We start from the raw sequence: 27,993 nt of genomic DNA on the forward strand, positions 1-27,993 counted from the left end.
AAACTCGGTAAAGCCGGAACAAGGATTTTCTTGATGCTGGGAAAAAGTTGTGTAGAACTCTGTTCTTGGTGCCAGAGTTGAGCCTGGACACTAGGATGTTCAGGAGATTAAGACATCTTTTTGTGCACTGGCCTTCGAGTGTTCTTGAATGAATCATACAGAATTTCACAGCCTTGGCCAAAGGTACCTTGGTTTAACATCAAAGGATCAAGTTTCTCCCAATCATATTTCAGCTTTGAAGTGAAATACAATGCTAAAAATTACCTGAGAATTATATGAATAAAATATAGATGACGGGAAAGGTAGATTTAAGTGCAATAGATATCACTGAAAAACTGTAATCAATGTTAAAACTCCCCATACCCCAATTAATGTCACAAATTAAAGCAAATCCCACTCTCCATCACCTCATACTTATGAGAAACATGAGAATAGTCTTTGACTATTATTTTACAATCTCCAAATCGTTTTCAAAGAACTGCCAAAAACAAAAGCCTATGAATACCGCAAATTTTAGAAAATAGTTCCATCCACACTGTGTATCAAAAAAAATAGCAGAACATGAAAGAGTACGTATGAAAATTTTAATTAGTATAAAAGAATGCATCAATTATGCTTTACAACCAACTGCTTTTATGCAAAATTTAAATTGTTTCTTTCCAAACTATACCTTCCAGCAAAACAGACACTACTATTTACATACTGTTTATTTTAAAATAGCATATTATCTTTCAGAAAGGTGCTGAAAGCATGATATAGCAAACCATAGTGATGTTTTATGAGAAATAGCTATGCTATGATCAGTGTCTGATGAATTACATTTGTGGTATGAGTCATATATGATTCCTTAAATGTAATTTTAAATAAACATGACCAACATACACATTTTTAAATATAGTTATGACTTTGTTTTGCAATAAACATTATAATGTGATAAAATCAGTTTCTCCCTAGTATTGAAAATCAAAATAGGTATTTGATAGTAAAGGGAGCTAATCAGATTCCAATGACTCTAGCCATTCTCAAGTAATTATCTGCTTTTTAAAATCACCTCTTGAACTGTACTCCTTGGATGTCTCAGCATTATCTTGAAAAAAAAAAAAAAAACAAACAATAAAAAAAAAACCACCCCCATTCCTTGAAGACAAATGGTCCTAACCCATCAGACAAGTTTTACTGGAGAAATGTCCAAACTTTGGGGAAATATTTACAACAATGCAGAGTCAAGCCATCTTTTAATACTTCTAGAAACCTACAATCTCAAGAAATGCCTAATTCACCACAAATCACACAACAAATCTTCACTTAACATCCAACCCAACAGTATTGTTTTATTTTAAAGAATGTTTAACACTAACTGTATGATAATAATTGGGTAAGGTCTAGATATTGAAACCAAATAAATAATGGCAGATATGTTTAATACTAGAAATTATTTTTTATAAGCAAAAGAGATTTGCCTTCAAACAGTTTTTTTCAAGATGAAAAAGATTTATTTGGAAAAATCAGCACAGGACAAAGATATCCTTAATAATCTGTCTCAGAATACCTGAATATTCAGAATCTATATGAAATGTAGCTGGAAATTCTGATTTCACAGAACATCAGTGGTTTATACAAATTAAACTCCCATACCCTCCCACCCCCACATATACTACTCTATCTACCCCTTATTGACATTAGCTTTCATTAATTAAGCTTCTATCTTTAGTGCTACTTGCGCAAATTAAAAAGCAAAATCATTTTCATTTTTAATGATAGGATTAGTTAAAGCAACCAAAGCATTACTGTTACAGCAAAGTTTAGTAAGACCGTAAGAGAATACCACTAATAACCGTTTTAAATTATCCAAAATGATTTCTTTATTGAGATTAAGTAACTACATAGATTTCACAGTACTATGGAATACTTATATTTAGCTAAAGTCACAAACACATTTCAACATTCAAAATGATGAGCATCATTACCATTCTAATCTACAAAGCTCATGAATAAAGAAAAATACAAAAACCTCAAGTTTTACAAAAAAAAAAAACTTTTAAGTCTACATACATTAACAATAAAACCATTTCTTCCAGATAACAGGTAAAAGTATAAAGGCATACCACTGACTTTTTTTTTCTGGATAGCCAGGAATGAACGAATGTTTAATATCTACGACGCTTATTAGGGCCTTCAAAGTTGCCCCCTTGACTTCCTCTACCAAAGCCACCAGGACCACCACTCACAGGACCTACGCCACTCATTGGTGCTTGAGGGGTTTCAGAACCTGTTCTACTCCCCATAGGTGAACCCATCTGAGATGGTGGTCCTTGAGGAAATCTGTCATTGTGCTATGATACCACACAATAAGGAATAGAATATGAAGTCCATTTGGAACACGCCAAATATAAGTGACAAGAAAAATTGGCAAAATCCCAAGTGGTGGTGTCATGAAGTTCGGCAGAAAGCCCAGCAGAATCAGGATCACACATAGAAGGAAGAAAGGAGCAATTTAATTAGTTACTATGTTTTTTTAAAAAAATGCAGCATCTGAAGATTTACATATTGCTAATGCTATGCCCCAATTTCAAGAACAAAGAACTGATTTCGTGACAGAAGCAAATGTAATCTTAAGCCTAAACAATATTATAATACATCTCTGATTCCTTTTTTCAAAAGTTTGTATTGCATGAAACTATGCTACGTAAGAAAAATACTTTTTTTTTTTTGGGGGGGGACGGAGTCTCGCTCTGTCGCCCAGGCTGGAGTGCAGTGGTGCAATCTCGGCTCACTGCAAGCTCCACCTTCCGGGTTCATGCCATTCTCCTGCCTCAGCCTCCTGAGTAGCTGGGACTACAGGCGCCTGCCACCACGTCCGGCTAATTTTTTGTAAGAAAAATACTTTTTTAAAAAAATCAGAGAAATAAAGCTGGGGAGCAGCATCAATTCGGTTTTTTAGAAGTAAACATTCTAAAAAAAAAATCTTTACATCAATTCCTTGAAGATAGAAAGCACTAATACAAACATACACAAAGAATTATGATTTCAGTATGGAAACTTCTGAGAGTGTTTTCCTTGAAAGATTATCATGGGAAAAGTTTTAAAAATTAATGTAATAACATGCACTAATAAGCACAATTAAATATCTGAATTAAATGTTTTGAAAAACTTCACAATAATCATACATATTAATCTGAAAGGTTGGATAGAACTCCCTGAAGTGTAGCAGTAAAATGTCAGTGTAAAACAGACCAAGGGTGATATTTAAATAAAGTTTACAATTTCAGGGAGACAATAAAAAAATGGGACAGTTAATGTTACTTCTATGTTTCTATTGATGATTATATGCCACACAAAAACTTAACCAAAGTAGTATAAGTTTTTACTAGCTTTCAAACATATCACTATAAAATAAAACCTCTACTGAAGGAAATAAATGCAATCACTGTGTTAAGCGCCATCTGTTCATAGTAGCCGTGCACTGCCTCCTTATCTCCCTGTATAAACTATCATTTTAAAAAATCCAACTGCCAGCATGTCCAATTTCTCCAAATTCTTAAAAGACTACATTTGAAGCAAATAAAATAATGATAAATGCTGCATTCAACTCTAAGACATACAATGCATTGCTTTTAATGCCTCTGATCACGATGGATTTACAACTGATGACAGGTCTGAGTCTAACAGGCAGTGCTTTCTTTCTTTCTTGGCAGCATTGGCGCCTCAAGATTTCATATAGTAGTTTCAAAACTAAACTGCCTTTTCAAAATAGATAACCAAACAATTTCCCTTTCAAAATGTTATTTAGAACAAGCATTAACAAACACTAAATGAGAAAACTGTTTGCCTATATAAAGTTCGATTTATATAGTGATAGACTTTAATGGAAATGATAAAAAGGTATCATTCTTGCTACTAATATATTTAAATATAATAAAAATTAAAACAAAAACCTTGTTTTCATAGTATTTAATCCACACAAAGATATCTTCACACTCTCAGATCAAGATAAAAAACTGTCTACTTTAAATTTACTAAATATAATTTAAAATCTGTGAAAAGAATGCCACAATGGTGGTTTGGAAATACACAAACACTTTAATGTTAATTTATAGCTAAATTATTTGCAATAAATCATGACAGGTAATATTTTTATCAAAAATATTTACTGAAAACTGTGTGTTCATACATATTGGACTTTTGTCCCCATCAAATATAAGGAGTCCACACAGGAAAAGAACACCATCATAAAATGCTTGAACATTAGAATGCTGGTAAAAGATGGAAACAAATTAAAAAGCACAGAAAAATAACTGTAATTAACATATGCATTTGCTATATACTGAGGTACCACAGCATGCCACAGACAGTAATCCTAATTCTTGGACTACTTAAAAACTATCTCAGCTGGACGCGGTGGCTCACGCCTGTAATCCCAGCACTTTGGGAGCCTGAGGCGGGTGGAACACCAGGTCAGGAGTTTGAGACCAGCCTGGCCAACATAGTGAAACCCTGTCTCTACTAAAAATACAAAAATTAGCCTGGCGTGGTGGCGCACGCCTGTAGCCCCAACTCCTCCAGAGGCTGAGGCAGGAGAGTTGCTTGAACCTTGGAGGCAGAGGTTGCAGCAAGCCGAGATTGCGCCACTGCATACCAGCCTGGGTGACAGCGCGAGACTCCATCTGAAAGAAAAACAAAAACAAAAACAAAAAAACTATCTCTAATAAATCAACATATGAGGTCACAAAATTTTCTTCTTCATTGGCTGCCAAAACAAATGATACCAAATTATATTAAGTGTGAAGTTATCCTTGATGCAGAAGTGTACATTACTGAATATAATCAAAACAATGTTTATGATACATTACCACTGCTCCATTATCTGGCATCATTGGAGTTCCCATATTTGCGGCTCCTTCTGGTCCCATGGCAGGACCAGGACCCATTGGTGGGCCAGGTATAGTTGCTCTGTTGTTCATATTCATACCCGTCATTGGAGGAGGACCTTGGTTACCAGCAGGGGCTGGGCTAAACGCATCTATGTAAAACAATCTATACTTAGAGCTGTCCTATCTTAGTTTAGTAAACATTAACAATTTAACAATATTTATGCAATCTATATACCAAGACCGTTATCAAAATTATTTTCGCTCCTTAAGAATGGGATATGCGTTATCTACTCTGTAATAGGGCATTACCTACACTCTAGAATTAGAATTTTCATCCCCAAGCCAAACGTACATAAAATCAAGGAGGAAACTATCAATTATTTTAGAGCATTTGAGACTGTAACAGTTTGCAAGCTTTGAGACATCACTATTATTTGTTATACTAGACTTTTTTTTTTTTTTTTTTTTTGAGACAGAGTCTTGCTCTGTCACCCAGGCTGGAGTGCAGTGGCGCGATCTCCGGTCACTGCAAACTCCGCCTTGCCGGTTCACGCCATTCTCCTGCCTCAGCCTCCCGAGTAGCTGGGACTACAGGCGCCCGCCACTACGTCCGGCTAATTTTTTTTCTCTTTTTAGTAGAGACGGGGTTTCACCGTGTTAGTCAGGCTGGTCTCGATCTCCTGACCTTTTGATCTGCTGGCCTCGGCCTCCCAAAGTGCTGGGATTACAGGCGTTAGCCACCGCGCCTGGCCTACAGTAGGCTTTTAAACCAAATAATCCCTAACACTGGGGACTACATTTTATAGTTTAAATGAGTAACAAAGGATTAGCACTTACAAAACCACTTAATTTTTTTTAAGCCATGGCTAAAAATATTAGCAGTAAATTATGCTAAGTTTCCAGAGAGGAAATCATTTCCTGCAATATATAAATAAAGATCATTATAACTAGCCTCTCATCTTAGTTTTTTGTTTTTCCTCCCTGAGTTTATGGAATACCTTGCTAAATTACATGAGGTACTCTTTTCTTAACTTTTTATATTGAAATATGGAATCTAAACAAAAAAATTAAAATGACTTATAACAGAACTTATTTTTTAAAGCAACTGCAACCAAATACAGATAAAACATTAATATAGCTATCTGGATCTTTCTGACAAGCTTAAATTCCATAAATGGGGACAATCTGATAATATTTCAAGTTTTTTCATTAAAAAATCCACCTACCTCATATTAATTTTAATAGTGTTTGTGCTCTAATACTACATATATGATGATCTCAAATGCAACACATTTTTAGGTATTTTCTTTGAAAAATTTTTTCCCTTTTAAGTGTTAGTACTTGTTTATCATTAAAAATTCACGACAAAGCCATTCTAATTTAGGATTTTATTCTAGTATTTCATTACATAGGTCAATTTTCTGACAATAAGACCTCAATTTCTCAAATATACATTATAATGCAGCTAAAATCTCTACATGGCTGAGTCCCTACCAGCCCCTGGCATCATACTTCTGCTCTTTGAATCCAATCCCCAGAAACCTAGCAAATTCATAGGAAGGAATTATTTCCTTCATCCCAAAATGCTCTTGCCAATAAATATACTTTATCCAAGAGTCTTTCCACTCCCTCATTATAGCTCTAAATAGCTATTTTTAATACTTTCTAGAAATGAAGAGAGTATAAGAATAGTATCTAAGATGTGTCTTAACTCAACTATCCCCTAGAAAACAAATTAAGTTTTCTTTTTCCTCTCTTTCTCTTTAATAGAATGTAATTTTACAATGGTGGGTTCAGAATATAACTATACAACTATAGGTATAAAAAATCAAAAATAATATTTCCAACTAACAGCAGTTAACTTAGAGCCTTACTTTTAGTACTCACATCTTCCACCACATAGCTATAAATAAATTTAAAGATCTAAGAAATGTTAGCATTATCTGATTACTAGAAAGGTAGCATTATAATGTAGGTTTCGCTTGGCTATACACACTAGTGATACACCAGAAAATCTGCTGCCACTTTCCATCAATGTAACTTGATGAGTTATGACAGTTTTAACTTCTCAACAACCCAACTGGATGATAATGATTAATAGCTCTACAAAACCAGTATGATGAAGTCCCACATTGAATGAAGACTGAAGAGAAAATTAAATAAACTGGGCTTTAGGAGAGTTAAGTGCTAAAATTTAAGTAAATCCTCTGGTGAATAAAATGTCACAAAAATTTTAAGTTGTCTTCAATTCCTAACTAAATAAGGACTCTAAAGGCATATTTTTAGATTTCTTCTGATAAAATTGCAGAGTATCTCTGCACCATCAGAAATGGTTTTAAGTTTTATACTATTTTAAAGTTTAGCTCTGATGTTAATGTCACTCTAATAATGATAATGGCCTTTTAAACTGCCTATAATCTACAATAACCTTATTCCTAAAATCCTTAAAATTACATGGATTATATTAAATAGCATCCCAGCATTTACTCTAAAAGAAAGACATAAATATTGGACCACTTGGACATCATTATACTCAATTATGCTTCATAATTTAGAACATAGATGCTCTTGGTTCATTGATTATTTCACGTATCCACTGTAGTAATTTCACAATTAAGTTCTTTATGGGCGAGGGCCATGTTTCTTGCTTCCTACATATACCAGAGATAGTCACTAACTACTTGTTGGTAAAAAGTGACCAAGTAAACAGCAATATATGACTCTACATTATCTGATTAGTAGTATTGAAAAACTGGCAACAGAAGTTTAAGAAAAAAAAAGCTGATCATGGAAAATGTTTATTCCACACATGACTTAAGTTTCATTTGATAGACTATATATGCTGAGAACACACTTGATTTTGTAAATGGGTGTGCATGTTAAGTACATTGTTTGCCATGGTAGTGTAATCTTTAAAACAATATGTACATTTAAGTTATGTAAAGATTTTCAGCTTCATAACAACTTTTGTGGGACAATTTAATGTGGGACAGCTTTTGTGGGACAATTAATTTCATAAAATTTAATTCCTTACCCAACTTTTAAATGTATGACATTTCAAATTTCAAATTTAGTAAGGCCTACGATATGCCACACTTGCTTTTCCTTCAGGTTATTTACTTGGCATTATTTCCCTTGCAACTTGGCTATATGAGCAAATCCATACTAAAGTTGCTAATATGCTTTCTTAAAAGCTTAGTCAACTCTAAAACATGCACTGGCGACACACATGTAATTCCCTTAATGAGTCATAGTCTACAAAACTGAGTGCGCTTCTGTGCACAACACTGTAGGTTAAAGGAAAAAAGCTCAATATTCATTAAAGTGAAGGAAAACAGCTTCAAAGTTACACAAAAAGCTAGTTTAAGATAGAAATGTATAAAATGCTCTCTAAAAGCCTAAAAACACAACTCAGAAACAATCTATTTCCAACTAAGAAACTATCAATTTCCAGTGTCCAATTAGGACATGTGAGGTGGCTCATGCCTGGAATATCAGCACGTTGGGAAGCTGATGCGGGCAAAGTGGTTCAACCCAGGAGTTCGAGACCAGCCTGGGCAACAAGGTGAAATCCCGTCTCTACTAAAAATACAAAAAATAAGCCAGGTGTGGTGGCGCGTGCCTGTAGTCCCCGCTACTTGGTAAGATGGAAGGACCACTTGAGCCCAGGAAGTCGAGGTTTCAGCAAGCCGAGATTGCGCCACTGTACTCCAGCCTGGGCAACAGAGTGGGGTCCTGCCTCAAAAAAAAAAAAAAAAAAGCCAAATAGAAGGCATATAAATTGATTTTAAAACTGCAAAGACAGAGCTGTATTACACAATGCAATGACTAAACTAACTTCAGGCTGTATTGCAACCTGGTTTATATGTTTCTTTCATTAAGCCTATGAATGTATAACACATCTTTTAGCCTTCAAACAAAAACAAAATGAGAATTTTCTTCCCAGACATATATTTTTAATATAATTGTATTGTATTCCAGTTTAATGGATGTAAGAGATTTCACCTTTAGAAATGTTGGTTCCGTATTTTAGTTTCTTACTGATATGTAGATACCACAAACAGCATAAACAGTCCCCCCAAAAATGATAAATTACAAAAGCCTTTTGCTTCAAATCCCTACCTCCCATGTTTATTGCTCCACAGGGACCCATATCACCCATTCTCATTTCCTGTTCTCTCTGTAAGTAAACATAGTTGTCACAGTCAACCTATCGATCTTATGACTTTACATTTCCCATCTAAAATCAAAAAGAAAAGAGTGAATTGGGACATCATTTTCCATTAAAGATTTTGAAAAGTTTCCATCATCATAAACTTAATAAGAACGCTGAAAAGAAACTTCAGTCTCCCAGGCTTAATATACTACAAATGCTTAATGCACCCAGTTTATATTGCAAGATTAGATTACTAATGAATCAGATTATATAAAATATATCACAAATTATTTTTAATGTTTTTATTCCAACAGATGAAAGACACATGCCTAGATTCCAAGCAAAGGAAAATCTAGTAATGATAACCACCAGAGCCAATTATTTTCTCCTCCCAGGTCACTGAAGTCTTAAAATAGAAATGACTGTTACCAAGTTCATATTGAAATGTATTCGAACATATAACACAAATAGCTTTAGGGAATTATGCTAAAAATAAGGTTACAATCTTCATTGTCTAAATATTATAATTCATTCATGTATTTGTATTCATCTACTCAAGCATTATTCCATCCAGGGACTATAGATAGCCCACACAAGCAATTACTGAAAGCTCGACATAACATTGCTTTCCTTTAACTGCGCAATAATTTTATTTGAAAACCTGAATAAAAGTATTACACAGTTCACTACAAAACAGAAATATTCAGAACATTTGAAATTTCATTTCAGAAACTGCTTCCTAAAAGCTGTTCATTTACCAACAATAGTGACATAGAATTAACTTCAATGAAATCTCTAAGTGAAATTTCTCAAGATAACATAGGAAAATTGCAATTTTCACTTTGACTTGATGACCATTTCCAATCACAGAAAACTGTTAAATGTAGCAATCATGAAAAACATTCCATTATGAGACAAATGCAGCAATGTTTAAAGAAAGCATAATTACTGTACTTCTGAAAAGCAATCTTATTAAAATCTAAATGTTCATTTAAAGTTCCATTTTATAATACAAAAGACTGTTGAAGAGCATCTATAAAGCTGGAAATAAAGAAAATAAAAGCCTATGATGGAAACGTAATTGCCATTAAGCCACAAGTGGCTCCTTAAAAGAAAACCTGCCTGTCTAACTTAAATGGAGATGTCCAAAGGTAATCTTAATGAAGCTACGGTACAATGAATGAAGCTACGGTACAACAAAAACACCATCATGAAGAGAGAAAATGCTTTCTCACATGATATCAATCTTTTTAAAGCTTCTTAAAAAAAATTTTTTTTCAGAGATCCTCACTCTGTTGCCCTGGCTGCAGTGCAGTGTTGTCATCATAGCTCACTGCAATCTCAAACTCCTGGGCTCAAGTGATCCTCCTGCCTCAGCTTCCCGAATAGATGGGATGACAAGCATGCACCATCATGCCTGGTAAATTTTTTCATTATTTTTTTGTAGAGATAGGGTCTTGCTATGTCAACCAGGCTGGTATCTAACTCCTGGGCTCAAGCAATCCTCCTGCCTCACGCTCGCAATGTGCTGGGATTATAAGCATAATCAGGAGTTTAAGACCAGCCTAGTCAACATGGTGAAACCGTGTCTCTATTAAAAACAAAAAAAATTAGCCGGGCATGGTGGCAGGCGCCTGTAGTCCCAGCTACTCGGGAGGCTGAGGCAGGAGAATGGCTTGAACCCAGAAGGTGGAGGCTGCAGTGAGCCCAGATCAACCCACTACACTCCAGCCTGGGTGACAGAGCAAGACTCCATCTCAAAATAAATAAATAAATAAATAAATAAATAAATAAGGGTCAGGCATGATGTCCAGTGCCTGTAATCTCAGGGTTTTGGGGGACCAACACAGGAGGATCCATTGAGGTCTGGAATTAGAGGTACGGTAACCTATGATTGCATCCCTGCGCTCCAGCCTGGGTGACAAAATGAGACCTCACTCCAAAAAATTTTTTAAAGTTTTGAACTGAAAAGGAACAAAAAATACATTTCTATTGATACAACTCAATAGCATGTAAACTTTCCAACCTAACCAAAAGTGAGTGCTTGGAAAGCTTAACTTTTTAAATTCCGGGAATTAAAAACAACAATTTCCAATATACTGTGTTATTCACTGCTAGTTAGTGAGGGGTAGTTTAAAAAATATAAGACAATCTCTTTATATGTATATATATACCCAAAGGCGGGTTTTCTCCCCTCAATACATGCATTCCTAAATATCTTCACCCATGAATATCTGGGAAAATATTCCTCAGTTACATGATTGTTAAAATGAAACTTTACATTGTATGCCATTGATAGAATTGCAAATTACATTGACGGAACTGCAAATTAAAACGAGACAGCACTACAAAACCTACTAGAATGGTGACGATCCGAAACACCGACAAAAACAAATGCTGGCCAAGATGCGATACAACAAGAACTTCAACGTATTGCTGAAGGGAATACAAACAGGTGTAACCATTTTGCAAGACAGTCTGGCAGTTTCTGATAAAATTAAACATACTCTTACCATCTGATACAGCAATATCACTCTTTGCATTTTACCCCAAGGAGGTGCAAACTTATGTCTACACAAAAACCTACACATGAATGTTTATAGCAGCTTGATTCATAATTGCTAAAACCTGGAAGCAACTAAGATGTCCTTTAGTATATGAATGGGTGAACTGTGGTACAACCAAAATATTATTCAGTGCTAAAAAGAAATGAGCTATCAACCCATGAAAAGACATAGAGGAAATTTAAATGCATATTGCCAGGTGACTAGAAGCCAGTCTGAAGAGGCTGTATACTATATGATTCCAACTATATGACATTCTGGAAAAAACTAAACTATGGAGACGATAGAAGGATCAGTGGTTGCCAAGGGTTAGGTGGAAGGGATAAAGAAGCAGAGCACAGAAGATTTTTAAGGAGGTGAAAATACTCTGTATGATACTATAATCATAGGTTCATGTCATAGATTTGTCAAAACCCTCAGAATGTACACCCAGAGCAAATCTAAAGGTAAACTATAGACTTTGGTTGATAAGCACGTGTCAATGTAGCTTCAGCAATTGTTATAAGTGTATCATTCTGGTAAAACATTTTGATAGCAGGAGAAGCTGTAGGCATGTGGCACAGGGTAGACGGGAAATCTCTGTACCTTCCACACAATCTTGCTGTGGACCTAAAGCTCTTTTGAAAAAGGCTACTAAAATATTGAAACTTTAAAATGAATCCTTTTGAATAATCAATTACATTAAAAATAATAATAATAAAGACGAGTCTCACTATGTTGCCCAGGCTGGACTTATACTCACTGGGCTCAATGGATCCTCCTGCCTCAGGCTCCCTAGTAGCTGGAACTACAATCATGCCACCGCACCCAGCTAATTACATCTTAATTTATACTGCAAGGTTTAGTCAAGAAACAAAAAGTAGTTGTTACTTGTTAAATACTAAATCAGAAATGGAGGCAATGACAAATAGAAGTAGGGAAACTTACTGTGTTCATTAACTTGACATGTGCCTCTTAAACCAAATACATTCAACAATGTATTTTGAAAGCCTCGGTCAGGTAATTGAGTGAATAGATTGCTCTGATATTACTGTCAAATTCAACTGAATGTGTAGCAAAATTAATGGCTGTTTTTTAATACATAGGGTGGCTTTCTAACTGAAGATCATTTAAATGTAAACACAATCTAGCACACATCAAGGGACAGAAGGAAATAAGTATTTTACACAAATTAATTGTTAAAGAAGCTTCTATTCGGCTGAGATTTTAAGAGACGGGCCTTGGTCGGGCACGGTGGCTCATGCCTACAATCCCAGCACTTCAGGAGGCCGAGGCGGGAGGATCACGAGGTCAGGAGATCAAAACCATCCTGGCTAACACAGTGAAACCCCATCACTACTAAACATACAAAAAAATTAGCCGGGCACAGTGGCAGGCACCTGTAGTCCCAGCTACTCGGGAGGCTGAGGCAGGAGAATGGCGTGAACCCGGGAAGTGGAGCTTGCAGTGAGCCAAGATTGCGCCACTGCACTCCAGCCTCAGCGACAGAGTGAGATTCTGTCTCAAAAAAAAAAAAAAAAAAGAGAGAGAGATGGGCCTCTCACTATGTTGCCCAAGCTGGCCTCGAATTCCTGAGCTCAATTGATCCTCCCACCTCAGCCTCCCAAGTAGCTGGTACTACAGGGCACACGACACTGCTCCTAAGAATTTTATTTGTAATGCATACACCTGAGAGCATTTTCAAGATTACCAGTTTCAATTGTCAGGTGTAAACTCACTCTGAAGAGGTGCTTTTAAAACCTAAAATTTTTGCCCATTCAGTATGATATTGGCTGTGGGTTTGTCATAGATAGCTCTTATTATTTTGAGATATGTCCCATCAATACCTAATTTATTGAGAGTTTTTAGCATGAAGGGTTGTTGAATTTTGTCAAAGGCCTTTTCTGCATCTATTGAGATAATTCTGTGGTTTTTGTCTTTGGCTCTGTTTATATGCTGGATGACATTTATTGATTTGCGTATATTGAACCAGCCTTGCATCCCAGGGATGAAGCCCACTTGATCATGGTGGATAAGCTTTTTGATGTGCTGCTGGATTCGGTTTGCCAGTATTGTATTGAGGATTTTTGCATCAATGTTCATCAAGGATATTGGTCTAAAATACTCTTTTTTGGTTGTGTCTCTGCCCGGCTTTGGTATCAGGATGATGCTGGCCTCATAAAATGAGTTAGAGAGGATTCCCTCTTTTTCTATTGACTGGAATAGTTTCAAAAGGAATGGTACCAATTCCTCCTTGTACCTCTGGTAGAATTCGGCTGTGAATCCCTCTGGTCCTGGACTCTTTTTGATTGGTAAGCTATTGATTATTACCACAATTTCGGAGCCTGTTATTGGTCTATTCAGAGATTCAATTTCTTCCTGGTTTAGTCTTGGGAGGGTGTATGTGTCGAGGAATTTATCCATTTCTTCTAGATTTTCTGGTTTATCTGCATAGAGGTGTTTGTAGTATTCTCTGATGGTAGTTTGTATTTGTGTGGGATCGGTGGTGATATCCCCTTTATCATTTTTTATTGCATCTATTTGATTCTTCTCTCTTTTCTTCTTTATTAGTCTTGCTAGCAGTCTATCAATTTTGTTGATCCTTTCAAAAAACCAGCTCCTGGATTCATTAATTTTTTGAAGGGTTTTTTGTGTCTCTATTTCCTTCAGCTCTGCTCTGATTTTAGTTATTTCTTGCCTTCTGCTAGCTTTTGAATGTGTTTGCTCTTGCTTTTCTAGTTATTTTAATTGTGATGTTAGGGTGTCAATTTTGGATCTTTCCTGCTTTCTCTTGTGGGCATTTAGTGCTATAAATTTCCCTCTACACACTGCTTTGAATGTGTCCCAGAGATTCTGGTATGTTGTGTCTTTGTTCTCGTTGGTTTCAAAGAACATCTTTATTTCTGCCTTCATTTCGTTATATACCCAGTAGTCATTCAGGAGCAGGTTGTTCAGTTTCCATGTAGTTGAGCGGTTTTGAGTGAGCTTCTTAATCCTGAGTTCTAGTTTGATTGCACTGTGGTCAGAGAGACAGTTTGTTATAATTTCTGTTCTTTTACATTTGCTGAGGAGAGCTTTACTTCCAACTATGTGGTCAATTTTGGAATAGGTGTGGTGTGGTGCTGAAAAAAATGTATATTCTGTTGATTTGGGGTGGAGAGTTCTGTAGATGTCTATTAGGTCCGCTTGGTGCAGAGCTGAGTTCAATTCCTGGGTATCCTTGTTAACCTTCTGTCTCGTTGATCTGTCTAATGTTGACAGTGGGGTGTTAAATTGTCCCATCATTATTGTGTGGGAGTCTAAGTCTCTTTGTAGGTCACTCAGGACTTGCTTTATGAATCTGGGTGCTCCTGTATTGGGTGCATATATATTTAGGATAGTTAGCTCTTCTTGTTGAATTGATCCCTTTACCATTATGTAATGGCCTTCTTTGTCTCTTTTGGTCTTTGTTGGTTTAAAGTCTGTTTTATCAGAGACTAGGATTGCAACCTCTACCTTTTTTTGTTTTCCATTTGCTTGGTAGATCTTCCTCCATCCTTTTATTTTGAGCCTATGTGTGTCTCTGCATGTCAGATGGGTTTCCCGAATACAGCACACTGATGGGTCTTGACTTTTTATCCAATTTGCCAGTCTGTGTCTTTTAATTGGAGCATTTAGTCCATTTACATTTAAAATTAATATTGTTATGTGTGAATTTGATCCTGTCATTATGATGTTAGCTGGTTATTTTGCTCGTTAGTTGATGCAGTTTCTTCCTAGCCTCGATGGTCTTTACAATTTGGCATGATTTTGCAGTGGCTGGTACTGGTTGTTCCTTTCCATGTTTAGCGCTTCCTTCAGGAGCTCTTTTAGGGCAGGCCTGGTGGTGACAAAATCTCTCAGCATTTGCTTGTCTGTAAAGTATTTTATTTCTCCTTCACTTATGAAGCTTAGTTTGGCTGGATATGAAATTCTGGGTTGAAAATTCTTCTCTTTAAGAATGTTGAATATTGGCCCCCACTCTCTTCTGGCTTGTAAAGTTTCTGCCGAGAGATCAGCTGTTAGTCTGATGGGCTTCCCTTTGTGGATAACCTGACCTTTCTCTCTGGCTGCCCTTAACATTTTTTCCTTCATTTCAACTTTGGTGAATCTGACAATTATGTGTCTTGCAGTTGCTCTTCTCGAGGAGTATCTTTGTGGCGTTCTCTGTATTTCCTGAATCTGAACGTTGGCCTGCCTTGCTAGATTGGGGAAGTTCTCCTGGATAATATCCTGCAGAGTGTTTTCCAACTTGGTTCCATTCTCCCTGTCACTTTCAGGTACACCAATCAGATGTAGGTTTGGTCTTTTCACATTGTCCCATATTTGTTGGAGGCTTTGTTCGTTTCTTTTTATTCTTTTTTCTCTAAACTTCTCTTCTCACTTCATTTCATTCATTTGATCTTCCATCACTGATATCCTTTCTTCCAGTTGATTGCATCGGCTCCTGAGGCTTCTGCATTCTTCACGTAGCTCTCGAGCCTTGGCTTTCAACTCCATCAGCTCCTTTAAGCACTTCTCTGTATTGGTTATTCTAGTTATACATTCGTGTAAATTTTTTTCAAAGTTTTTAACTTCCTTGCCTTCGGTTTGAATTTCCTCCTGTAGCTCGGAGTAGTTTGATTGTCTGAAGCCTTCTTCTCTCAACTCGTCATTCTCCGTCCAGCTTTGTTCTGTTGCTGGTGAAGAACTGCATTCCTTTGGAGGAGGAGAGGTGCTCTGCTTTTTAGAGTTTCCAGTTTTCTGCTCTGTTTTTTCCCCATCTTTGTGGTTTTATCTACTTTTGGTCTTTGATGATGGTGATGTACAGATGGGTTTTTGGTGTGGATGTCCTTTCTGTTTGTTAGTTTTCCTTCTAACAGACAGGACCCTCAGCTGCAGGTTGGTTGGAGTTTGCTAGAGGTTCACTCCAGACCATGTTTGCCTGGGTATCAGCAGCAGTGGCTGCAGAACAGCGGATTTTTGTGAACCGCGAATGCTGCTGTCTGATTGTTCCTCTGGAAGTTTTGTCTCAGAGGAGTACCCGGCCGTGTGAGGTGTCAGTCTGCCCCTACTGGGGGGGTGCCTCCCAGTTAGGCTGCTTGGGGGTCAGGGGTCAGGGACCCACTTGAGGAGGCAGTCTGCCCGTTCTCAGATCTCCAGCTGTGTGCTGGGAGAAGCACTGCTCTCTTCAAAGCTGTCAGACAGGAACATTTAAGTCTGCAGAGGTTACTGCTGTCTTTTTGTTTGTCTGTGCCCTGCCCCCAGAGGTGGAGCCTACAGAGGCAGGCAGGCCTCCTTGAGCTGTGGTGGGCTCCACCCAGTTCGAGCTTCCCGGCTGCTTTGTTTACCTAAGCGAGCCTGGGCAATGGCGGGCGCCCCTCCCCCAGCCTCGCTGCTGCCTTGCAGTTTGATCTCAGACTGCTGTGCTAGCAATCAGCAAGACTCGGTGGGCATAGGACCCTCCGAGCCAGGTGCGGGATATAATCTGCCGGTGTGCTGTTTTTTAAGCCTGTCGGAAAAGCGCAGTATTAGGGTGGGAGTGACCCAATTTTCCAGGTGCCGTCTGTCATCCCTTTTTTTGACTAGGAAAGGGAACTCCCTGACCCCTTGTGCTTCCCGAGTGAGGCAATGCCTCACCCTGCTTCGGCTCACGCACGGTGCGCTGCACTCACTGACCTGTGCCCACTGTCTGGCACTCCCTAGTGAGATGAACCCGGTACCTCAGATGGAAATGCAGAAATCACCTGTCTTCTGCTTCACTCACGCTGGGAGCTGTAGACTGGAGCTGTTCCTATTCGGCCATCTTGGCTCCTCTGACCTCGAGTTTCTTAATCCTGAGTTCTAGTTTGATTGCACTGTGGTCTGAGAGACAGTTTGTCAAATTTCTGTTCTTTTACCTTTGCTGAGGAGTGCTTTACTTCCAACTATGTGGTCAATATTGCAATAGGTGTGGTGTGGTGCTGAAAAATATGTATATTCTGTTGATTTGGGGTGGAGAGTTCTGTACATCTCTATTAGGTCTGCCTGGTGCAGAGCTGAGTTCAATTCCTGGATATCCTTGTTAACTTTCTGTCTCGTTGATCTGTCTAATGTTGACAGTGGGGTGTTAAAGTCTCCCATTATTATTGTGTGGGAGTCTAAGTCTCTTTGTAGGTCTCTAAGGACTTGCTTTATGAATCTGGGTGCTCCTGTATTGGGTGCATATATTTTTAGGATAGTTAGCTCTTCTTGTTGAATTGATCCCTTTACCATTATGTAATGGCCTTCTTTGTCTCTTTTGATCTTTGTTGGTTTAAAGTCTGTTTTATCAGAGACTAGGATTGCAACCCCTGCCTTTTTTTGTTTTCCATTTGCTTGGTAGATCTTCCTCCATCCCTTTATTTTGAGCCTATGTGTGTCTCTGCAAGTGAGATGAGTTTCCTGAATACAGCATACTGATGGGTCTTGACTTTTTATCTAATTTGCCAGTCTGTGTCTTTTAATTGGAGCATTTAGCCCATTTACGTTTAAGGTTAATATTGTTATGTGTGAATTTGATCCTGTCATTATGATGTTAGCTGGTTATTTTGCTCTTTAGCTGATGCAATTTCTTCCTTGCCTCGATGGTCTTTACAATTTGGCATGTTTTTGCAGTGGCTGATACCAGTTGTTCCTTTCCATGTTTAGTGCTTCCTTCAGGAGCTCTTTTAGGGCAGGCCTGGTGGTGACAAAATCTCTCAGCATTTGCTTGTCTGTAAAGTATTTTATTTCTCCTTCACTTATGAAGCTTAGTTTGGCTGGATATGAAATTCTGGGTTGAAAATTCTTTTCTTTAAGGATGTTGAATTTTGGCCCCCACTCTCTTCTGGCTTGTAGAGTTTCTCCCAAGAGGATCAGCTGTTAGTCTTATGGGCTTCCCTTTGTGGGTAACCTGACCTTTCTCTCTGGCTGCCCTTAACATTTTTTCCTTCATTTCAACTTTGGTGAATCTGACAATTATGTGTATTGGAATTGCTCTTCTCGAAGAGTATCTTTGTGGAGTTCTCTGTATTTCCTGAATCTGAATGTTGGCCTGCCTTGCTAGATTGGGGAAGTTCTCCTGGATAATATCCTGCAGAGTGTTTTCCAACTTGGTTCCATTCTCCCCATCATTTTCAGGTACACCAATCCGACATAGATTTGCCCTTTTCACATAGTCCCATATTTCTTGGAGGCTTTGTTCATTTCTTTCTATTATTTTTTCTCTAAACTTCTCTTCTTGCTTCATTTCATTCATTTGATCTTCCATCACTGATATCCTTTCTTCCAGTTGATCGATTCGGCTACTGAGGCTTGTGCATTCATCACATAGTTCTCGTGCCTTGGTTTTCAGCTCCATCAGGTCCTTTAAGGACTTCTCTGCATTGGTTATTCTAGTTAGCCATTCGTCTAATCTTTTTTTAAGGTTTTTAACTTCTTTGCCATGGGTTCAAACTTCTTCCTTTAGCTCAGAGTAATTTGATCGTCTGAAGCCTTCTTCTCTCAACTCGTCAAAGTCATTCTCCATCCAGCTTTGTTCCATTGCTGGTGAGGAGCTGCATTCCTTTGGAGGAAGAGAGGCACTCTGATTTTTAGAATTTTCAGTTTTTCTGCTCTGTTTTTTCCCCATCTTTGTGGTTTTATCTACCTTTGGTCTTTGATGATGGTGACATACAGATGGGGTTTTGGTGTGGATGTCCTTTCTGTTTGTTAGTTTTCCTTCTAACATTCAGGACCCTCAGCTGCAGGTCTGTTGGAGTTTGCTGGAGGTCCACTCCAGACCCTGTTTGCCTGGGTATCAGCAGCAGAAGCTGCAGAACAGCGGATATTGGTGCACAGCAAATGTTGCTGCCTGATCGTTCCTCTGAAAGTTTTGTCTGAGAGGAGAACCTGGCCGTGTGAGGTGTCAGTCTGCCCCTACTGGGGAGTGCCTCCCAGTTAGGCTACTCGGGGGTCAGGGACCCACTTGAGGAGGCAGTCTGTCCATTCTCAGATCTCAAGCTGCGTGCTGGGAGAACCACTGCTCTCTTCAAAGCTGTCAGACAGGGACATTTAAGTCTGCAGAGGTTTCTGCTGCCTTTTGCTTGGCTATGCCCTGCCCCCAGAGGTGGAGTCTACAGAGGCAGGCAGGCCTCCTTGAGCTGCAGTGGGCTCCACCCAGTTCGAATTTCCCAGCCGCTTTGTTTACCTACTCGAGCCTCGGCGTTCATGGGCGCCCCTCCCCGAGACTCGCAGCTGCCTTGCAGTTTGATCTCAGACTGCTGTGCTAGCAATGAGCGAGGCTCCGTGGGCGTAGGACCCTCCGAGCCAGGTGGGGAATATAATCTCCTGGTGTGCCATTTGCTAAGACCGTCGGAAAAGCGCAGTATTAGGGTGGGAGTGACCCGATTTTCCAGGTGCCGTCTGTCACCCCTCTCCTTGGCTAGGATAGGGAATTCCCTGACCCCTTGTGCTTCCCAGGTGAGGCAATGCCTCGCCCTGCTTCAGCTCATGCTTGATGCGCTGCACCCACTGTCCTGCACCCACTGTCTGACAATCCCCAGTGAGATGAATCCGGTACCTCAGTTGGAAATGCAGAAATCATTCATCTTCTGCGTCGCTCATGCTGGGAGCTGTAGAATGGAGCTGTTCCTATTCGGCCATCTTGGCTCCACCCTCTGCAACTCTTGATTTCTGAGTTCTTCCAAGCATCTGAGTTCTTCTTGATGCCTCATTAGATCTACAAAATAATGACTACACAGTAATATTTTTAGTTTCCCTTTCCATATTTTTATACCAATAAGCATAGAAGTTCTCTGTCACTGGCAATATATTGGTATATTACTCATTTTATAATAAATTGTAAGCTGGGTAATTAATCAAATAAATATCCTTTCTGAGCACGTTTCTTCATGTATATAAAAAAGAGTATTCAAGTTCATTCTTGGCCAGGTGCGGTGGCCCATGCCTGTAATCCCAATACTTTGAGAGGCCAAGGCAGGTGGATCACTTGAGGCCAGGAGTTTGAGACCAGTCTGGCCAACAAGGCAAAACCCCAACTCCACCAAAACTACAAAAATTAGCTGGGCATGGTGGTGTGTGCCTGCAGTCCCAGCTACTCAGAAGGCTGAGGTAGGAGAATCACTTGAACTCGGGAGGTGGAGGATGCAGTGAGTCGAGATTGTGCCACTGCACTCCAGCCTGAATGACAGAGCAAGACTCCATCTCAAAAACAAGTTCATTCTTGTTGGGGAAAAAAAGTGTAATAAACTCCTCTTGGCTGGGCGTGGTGGCTCATGCCTATAATCCCAACAGTTTGGGAGGCCCAGGTGGGCAACAGAGTGGGTTGCATAGCAGGACTGTCTCTAAAATAAAATGCAACAGAGCAAATGCAACAGAGTGAGTTGACTCCATTTCAAAAAATAAATAAATAAATAAAAATTCATCTTTATGTCAAGAAATTAAAGAGGCTGGCTTGTGCCTGCAATCCCAGCACTTCAGTAAGCCAAGGCAGGCAGATCACTTCAGCTGAGGAGTTCGAGACCAGCCTAAGTAACACGGTGAAACCCTGTCTACAAAAAATACAAATATTAGGGCCAGGTGTGGTGCCTCACAGCTGTAATCCCAGCATTTTGGGAGGCCAAGGCAGGTGGATCACCTGAGGTCGGGAGTTCGAGGCCAGCCTGACCAACATGGAGAAACCCCGTCTCTACTAAAAACACAAAAATTAGCTGGGTGTGGTAGCGCATGACTGTAATCCCAGCTACTCAGGAGGCTTAGGTGGGAGAATCGCTTGAACCCGGGAGGCAGAGGTTGCAGTGAGCCGAGATCACACCATTGCACTCCAGCCTGGGAAACAAGAGCAAAACTCTGTCTCAAAAAAAAACCACAAAAAACAATTACTTAAATACCTTTTTTTTCCCCTCTCAGAGACAGGGTCTCACTCTGGCACCTAGGCTGGAGTAGAGTGGCATGATGGTAGCTCACTACAGCCTCAACCTTCTGGGCTCAAGAGATCCTCCCACCTCAGTCTCCCAAACAGCCAGGACTGACAGGCTTTTAACCTCTCAGATCTTATCACCTTACCTGTAACATTGGTATAATTAGCTCAAAGGCTCCAACAATGAAATTATCAAATAAGCACAATTAGCTAATACTTAAAAGAACTATAGACTTAAAACTACCATTTTATGCTCACTAAATTATAAATTTTTTAAAGTTTCTAATACCCAAAGTTCCTGAAATTTCACTAAAGCTTATACATCTGTACACTGCCATGATAACATCTTTGTAAGGGAAAAAAACTGTAAAAAGTACATAACTAGAGATGTCTTTATCTTTTGATCCAGGAAATTACACTCAGGAATTTTTCTTAACAAAATAAAACAAAGCCATCTACAGACATGAAGCCATCATCTACAGTATTACTTATTACTTACTAAATCAAATAACACTTTGAAATGCTTTCCTGGCTGGGCACAGTGACTTACCAAAGTGGGAGGCTGCCTCGGCCTCTGAAAGTAATCCCAGCACTTTGGGAGGCCGAGGTGGGTGGATCACTTGAGGTCAGGAGTTTGAGACCGGCCTGGCCAACATGGCAAAACACTGTCTCTACTAAAACTACAAAAATAAGCCGGGCATGGTGGCACACGCCTGTAGTCCCAGCTACTCAAGGAGGCTGAGGCAGAAGAATCACTTGAACCTGGGAGGCAGAGGTTGCAGTGAGCAGAGATTGCGCCAACGCAATCCAGCCTGGTTGACGAGTAAGACTGTCTCAAATTAATTAATTAATTAATTAAAATGCTGTCCTAACACATTTAATGATAAAATTACATGAAATTATATGCTATAATTTCAATGTATCATAAATACAGGTACAGAAAAAAGGAATATAAACGAACTAAAATTTTGATTTGCTAGACTGTGAGACAGTGTTTTCTCAATTTAAAATTGCACAAGTCATGAAAACTGAATGTATAAGTTCTGATCTAACAATTCTATTTTCTAAAAATACTAGTCTCTTTATTTTTCTTTCAGTTTTTATTTTACCTCTGATCTGTCTGGATTTATGACACTGAATTAATTTTTTTTTTTTTGAGATGGAGTCTTGCTCTGTCGCCCTGGCTGGAGTGCAGTGGCGTGATCTTGGCTCACTGCAACCTCCACCTTCTGGGTTCAAGCAATTCTCCTGCCTCAGCCTCCTGAGTAGCTGGGACTACAGGCATGTGCCACCAGGCCCAGCTAATTTTTTGTATTTTTAATAGAGATGGGGTTTCACCATGTTAGCCAGGATGGTCTCAATCTCCCGTCTGCATTAATATTCTTTAATCATAAACCTCATATGTATTTAAATCTTAGTATATCAAGTAGGTTCAGGCATGACTGTTCTGTTGTTCACTTGTGTGATGTTTATCCTCTGTTGATTTCTTTAAGAAGGGCTCAGAGCAACATATTTGTTTTGTTTGTTTTTTTTTTGTTGTTGTTTTTCCAGATGGAGTCTCGCTCTGCCGTCAGGCTGGAGTGCGGTGGTGCGATCTCCGCTCACAGCAACTTCCGACTCCCTGTTTCAAGCGATTCTCCTGCCTCGGCTTCCCAAGTAGCTCACACCTGTAATCCTAGCACTTTGGGAGTAATCCTAGCACTTTGGGAGTGCTCAGGGATCCACCTGATGCAGGCGGATCACGAGGTCAGGAGTTCAAGATCAGCCTGACCAACATGGAGAAATATCGTTTCTACTACTAATACAAAAAGTAGCCAAGCGTGGTGGTGCGCACCTGTAATACCAGCTACTCAGGAGGCTGAGGCAGGAGAATCACTTCAAACGCAGAGGCAGAGGTTGCAGTAAGCCGAGATTGCACCACTGCACTCCAGCCTGGGCAACAGAGAGAGACTCCATCTCTAAATAAATAAAAGTTAAAAAAAAAAATGTAATGGGAGCCAGGTGCAGTGGCTCATGCCTGTAATCCTGGCACTTTGGGAGGCTGAGACGGGCAGATCACTTGAGGCCTGGAGTTTGAGACCAGCCTGGCCAACATGGCGAAGCCCCGTCTCTACTAAAAATACAAAAATTAGCCAGGTATGGTGGCTCATGCCTGAGGGAGGAGAATCACTTGAACCCGGGAGCCGGAGGTTGTAGTGAGCTGAGATTGTGCCACTGAACACCAGCCTGGGCAACAGAGTGAGACTCCATCTCAAAAAAAAAAAAATTTTTTTAATGTAATGGGATTTGAATCTAGAAAGGACTAAATAACTATCAGTAAAGTATAAATGAAAGAATTATTATTATAAGGTACCCGTGTGTTCAATAAGAATCAACATTTACGGCTGGGTGTGGTGGCTCATGCCTGTAACCCCAACACTTTGGGAGGCTGAGGTGGGCAGATCACTTGAGGTCAGGAGTTCGAGACCAGCCTGACCAACGTGGAGAAACCCCATCTCTACTAAAATACAAAATTAGCCAGGCATGGTGGCGCATGCCTGTAATCCCAGCTACTCAGGAGGCTGAAGCAGGAGAATCGCTTGAACCCAGGAGGTGGAGGTTGCAGTGAGCGGAGATCGTGCCACTGCACTCCAGCCTGGGCGACAGAGCGAGACTCTGTCTCGAAAAAAAAAAAAATTTACAAAAATTTTCTGATACATGCATATATATTCTTTGCAGCACTGCTTTTAAAAACAAACTGAAAAGAGAAATTGTTATCGAAAGAGGATGAACTAAACTAATTATACCCATATAAAAGAAAATCATACAGCCATTAAAAATATAAGGTGGATATTTACATATATATTCATGTAGAAAGTAAAAAAGTTACAGAAAAGGTAAACAGCTTTATTTTTGGAGACAGAGTCTCGTTCTGTCACCCAGGCTGGAATACAGTGGCATAATTACAGCTCACTACAGCCTCAAGCTCCCAGGCTCAAGTGATCCTCCCTCCTAAGCCTTCCCAAGTAGCTGCAACTACAGACACATGCCACCATGCCCAGCTAATTTCTGTACTTTTGGTAGAGATGGGGTCTCACTATGTTGCTGAGGTTAGTCTTGAACTGCTGGACTCAAGCAATCCTCCCACCTCAGCTTCCCAAAGTGCTAGAATTACAGGCATGAGCCACTGTGCCCAGCCAGTTTGTTTTTTCGTTATGAATTTTGTTTTTTTTTGCTTACAAATACACACAAACATCTAATAACATATGCAAATTTTTTTTCATTAAAGGATACAAAAGAGACTTAAAATACAGAAGAGTGATTCCTGCAAAAAAGCAGAAGGTAGGTTACAGTGAGCTGAGGTTGTACCACTGCACTCCAGCTTGGGCGACAGACAGAGTCTGTCTCAAAAAAGAAAAAAAAAAGAAATATGAAACCGTAGAACAAATGGGAGGAAGTTGTAACTTTTTAAATTTTTAAACAAACTACAACTGAAATTTACCAATTGCAGACTTTGGATCAAATAAGTACAAGTACTTCGGCACAAGTGAACCCAGAAGCAGGGAGTAGGATGCAATAGGCAATGTGATTTTCTAATATTATAAACTAAGATATTGTTAACAGAGACTTTAAATGAACACACACGATAAACAACAAAACTTAAACTCAGGGGAAATAACTCTGCAAAATTACTCTACTTCAAACATCAAAATACCTTCAGGCAAAGTTTTCTAAGAGCTCAAGAAAAAACTGAAGTCTAAGGAAATGTTCTTTGCCATCAATATATCCTCAGTACCTCAGATGTGTCTCCCATAACTGACATTAAAGATGTGCTAAATTAGTGAATGTTATACCACTGTTCGTAGCATCAACACAAATCTTTAGTACAGATGCTTCCACATCTAATCAACATTATTATCTAACTAGGGCACAACTGTAGGTAGGTGGGAAACAAAATGGCAGAGAAGTGCCTAGCAGGCTAAGAGAAAACAATTCATATTGAACAGAAGGGCTAGGGCAACCACAGAGCCCAGGAAACGAAATTTCAAAAATTTCCAAGATGATTCTAATGGGTAATAAAATTTCAAAACCACTGGGCTGGACAAACTCTAAGATCTCTTGGCTGGGCACGGTGGCTCATATCTGTAATCCCAGCACTATGGGAGGCCAAGGTGGGTAGATCACTCGAGGCTAGGAGTTCAAGACCAGCTTGGCCAACATGGAGAAATCCCATCTCTACTAAAAATACAAAAAAACTGGCCAGGCACGGTGGCTCATGCCTGCAATCCCAGCACTTTGGGAGGCCGAGGTGGGTGGATCACCTGAGGTCAGGAGTTCAAGAGCAACCTGGCCAACATGGTAAAACCCCATCTCTACTAAAAATACAAAAAATTAGCCAAGTGTGGAGGCACACACTTGTAATCCCACCCACTTAGGAGGCTGAGGCAGGAGGATCACTTGAACCCCGGAGGTGGAGGTTGCAGTGAGCTAAGATCACACCAGTGTACTCCAGTCTGGGCGACAGAGTGAGATTTTGTCCAAAAAAAAAAAGTCTCTCTTCCAGCTCTAACAACTAATGAATGATTCAGTACCTTTATCTCAAATAACAACTTGCAAATTTTCCACAAAATAAAAGACAGTTTATCTTTTTTTTTTTTTTTTTGAAATGGAGTCTCGCTCTCTCGCCCAGGCTGGAGTTCAGTGGCGTGATCTCGGCTCACTGCAACCTCCACCTCCTGGGTTCTAGTATTTCTCTGCCTCAGCCTCCCAAGTAGCTGGTATTACAGGCACCTGCCACCACAGCCAGCTAATGACAGTTTATCTTTAAATCTACTATAAGATATAAATGAGTTCAATTTTGTTAGAAGAGTGAACTTATAGAACTACCAAGCTTAGGGCCCAAATTAAACCAAAACACCTAACTAGTTTCCATGGTTTGCTGGGCTCGATTTTGTTTTAACGTATGTGGCATCAGCACAGTTACTCAATGACTTCATCATAAGTGCTCAATAAACGTTTACTGAATAGTGATGTACGAAATACTAGAACACACATACCAAAAAAACCTACACTTCATTCTAAAGTAAGTGAGAATTTACCCAAAAGGATTTAGAGAAGAATGATCAAATTTTCACCTGCTAAGAAAAATACTGAATCTAGTACACAGAACGGTTTAAAGAAAGCCAAGATTAGATGGCAGAAATGTTCAGCAGGAATGCTGCTGCAGAAACTCAGGCAGGCAGCTGTGGTACCTTGATCTCTGGGGACAGCCGAGAGAAGGTAAATACAAAAAAATTAGCCGGGCATTGTGGTGTGTGCCTGTAATCCCAGCTACTTAGGAGACTGAGGCAGGAGAATTGCTTGAGCCCAGGAGGCAGAGGTTGCAGTGAAACGATATCACACCATTACACTCCAGCCTGGGCAACAGAGCAAGACTCCACCTCAAAAAATATATATATACACACACACACACACACACATATATATGTATATATATATATGTATATATTCTTGCCAATTACTAACTTTCCCTAAATCCCCATATGAGTCTCCCATGAATCTTTTTCTTCTCTACAAGATTATCCATCTGTACTCTTTCAAACATGTAATAATAATCTTAAATAGCCAGCATTTGTCCAAATTCTTCTTCTCATCAAATAAAAATTCCTGTATGTGCCATGTCTACCTACCAAAATTCACCCACTATGTTTCTGTTTGCCAAGAGAATCATGTATTTGGTACTGGCACAATTTAATATCCTCAAATTACCTCCAACAATACTACTTGCATAAGTAAAACTATTTTTTTTTTTTGAGACAGAGTTTTGCTCTTGTTGCCCAGGCTGGAGTGCAATGACACGATCTCAGCTCGCCACAACCTCCACCTCCCAGGTTCAAGAGATTCTCCTGCCTCAGCCTCCAACTAGCTGGGATTACAGGTGCACACCGCCATGCCTGGCTAATTTTGTATTTTTAGTAGAGATGGGGTTTCCCCATGTTGGTCAGGCTTGTCTCGAACTCCCGAGCTCAGGTGATCCACCTGCCTTGGCCTCCCAAAGTGCCGGGATTATGGACGTGAGCCACCATGCCCGGCAAGTAAAACTAACTTTTAATAAGTTGTGTTTTTTTTTAAGGTAAGTTATCTGGGAAAAGGGAGATTTTCACACCTAATATGTTGGGTTCCAACTTTGTCTCTAAACTCCTAAATGGCACTTTACACAGTAGTACGTGAATGGTACATACACTTAAGGAAAAAAAAAATCATACCACATGTACATGAAAATCCATGTTTACCTTGCCTCATTAGCATTAATTGGTGTTCATGCCTAGCTGCTTCCATTTCTGCCTCCAGTTTCTCTTTGGCTTCTCTGATGTTTCTATCAACCTGCTCACGCTGCTGCTTTTCCATTTCTTCAAGAGCCTTCCATCGAGATGCATACGTCCCAGGTTGAGCAAAACGTGGTGGTTGTTCTCTTTCCCTAAATTAACATTAAAACATACAGAAATGTATGCTTAAAAGGTAAAACAA

General features: G+C 39.4%; 1 long non-coding RNA gene and 1 pseudogene across 4 annotated transcripts in view; both read right to left on the reverse strand.

Moving 5' to 3' along the window:
* Positions 1–1,837: 1,837 nt before the first annotated feature.
* Positions 1,838–27,993, reverse strand: part of LOC124900335 (uncharacterized) — a 42,489-nt gene continuing 16,333 nt past the window's right edge. The window contains exons 2-7 of one of the 4 annotated variants that reach the window (XR_007063709.1): positions 27,759–27,943; positions 20,128–20,300; positions 11,386–11,463; positions 8,994–9,051; positions 4,851–5,020; positions 1,838–2,333 (exon numbers count right to left, since the gene is read on the reverse strand). This is a non-coding gene — a long non-coding RNA (uncharacterized LOC124900335). The remainder of the gene's footprint in view (positions 2,334–4,850; positions 5,021–8,993; positions 9,052–11,385; positions 11,464–20,127; positions 20,301–27,758; positions 27,944–27,993) is intronic. The other 3 variants (XR_007063708.1, XR_007063707.1, XR_007063706.1) reach the window with 3 other exon arrangements.
* Positions 1,948–27,946, reverse strand: PSPC1P1 (paraspeckle component 1 pseudogene 1; annotated as a pseudogene).

Source organism: Homo sapiens, chromosome 13 (genome assembly GCF_000001405.40).
Source record: "Homo sapiens chromosome 13, GRCh38.p14 Primary Assembly".
Classification (NCBI taxonomy): Eukaryota; Metazoa; Chordata; class Mammalia; order Primates; family Hominidae; genus Homo; species Homo sapiens.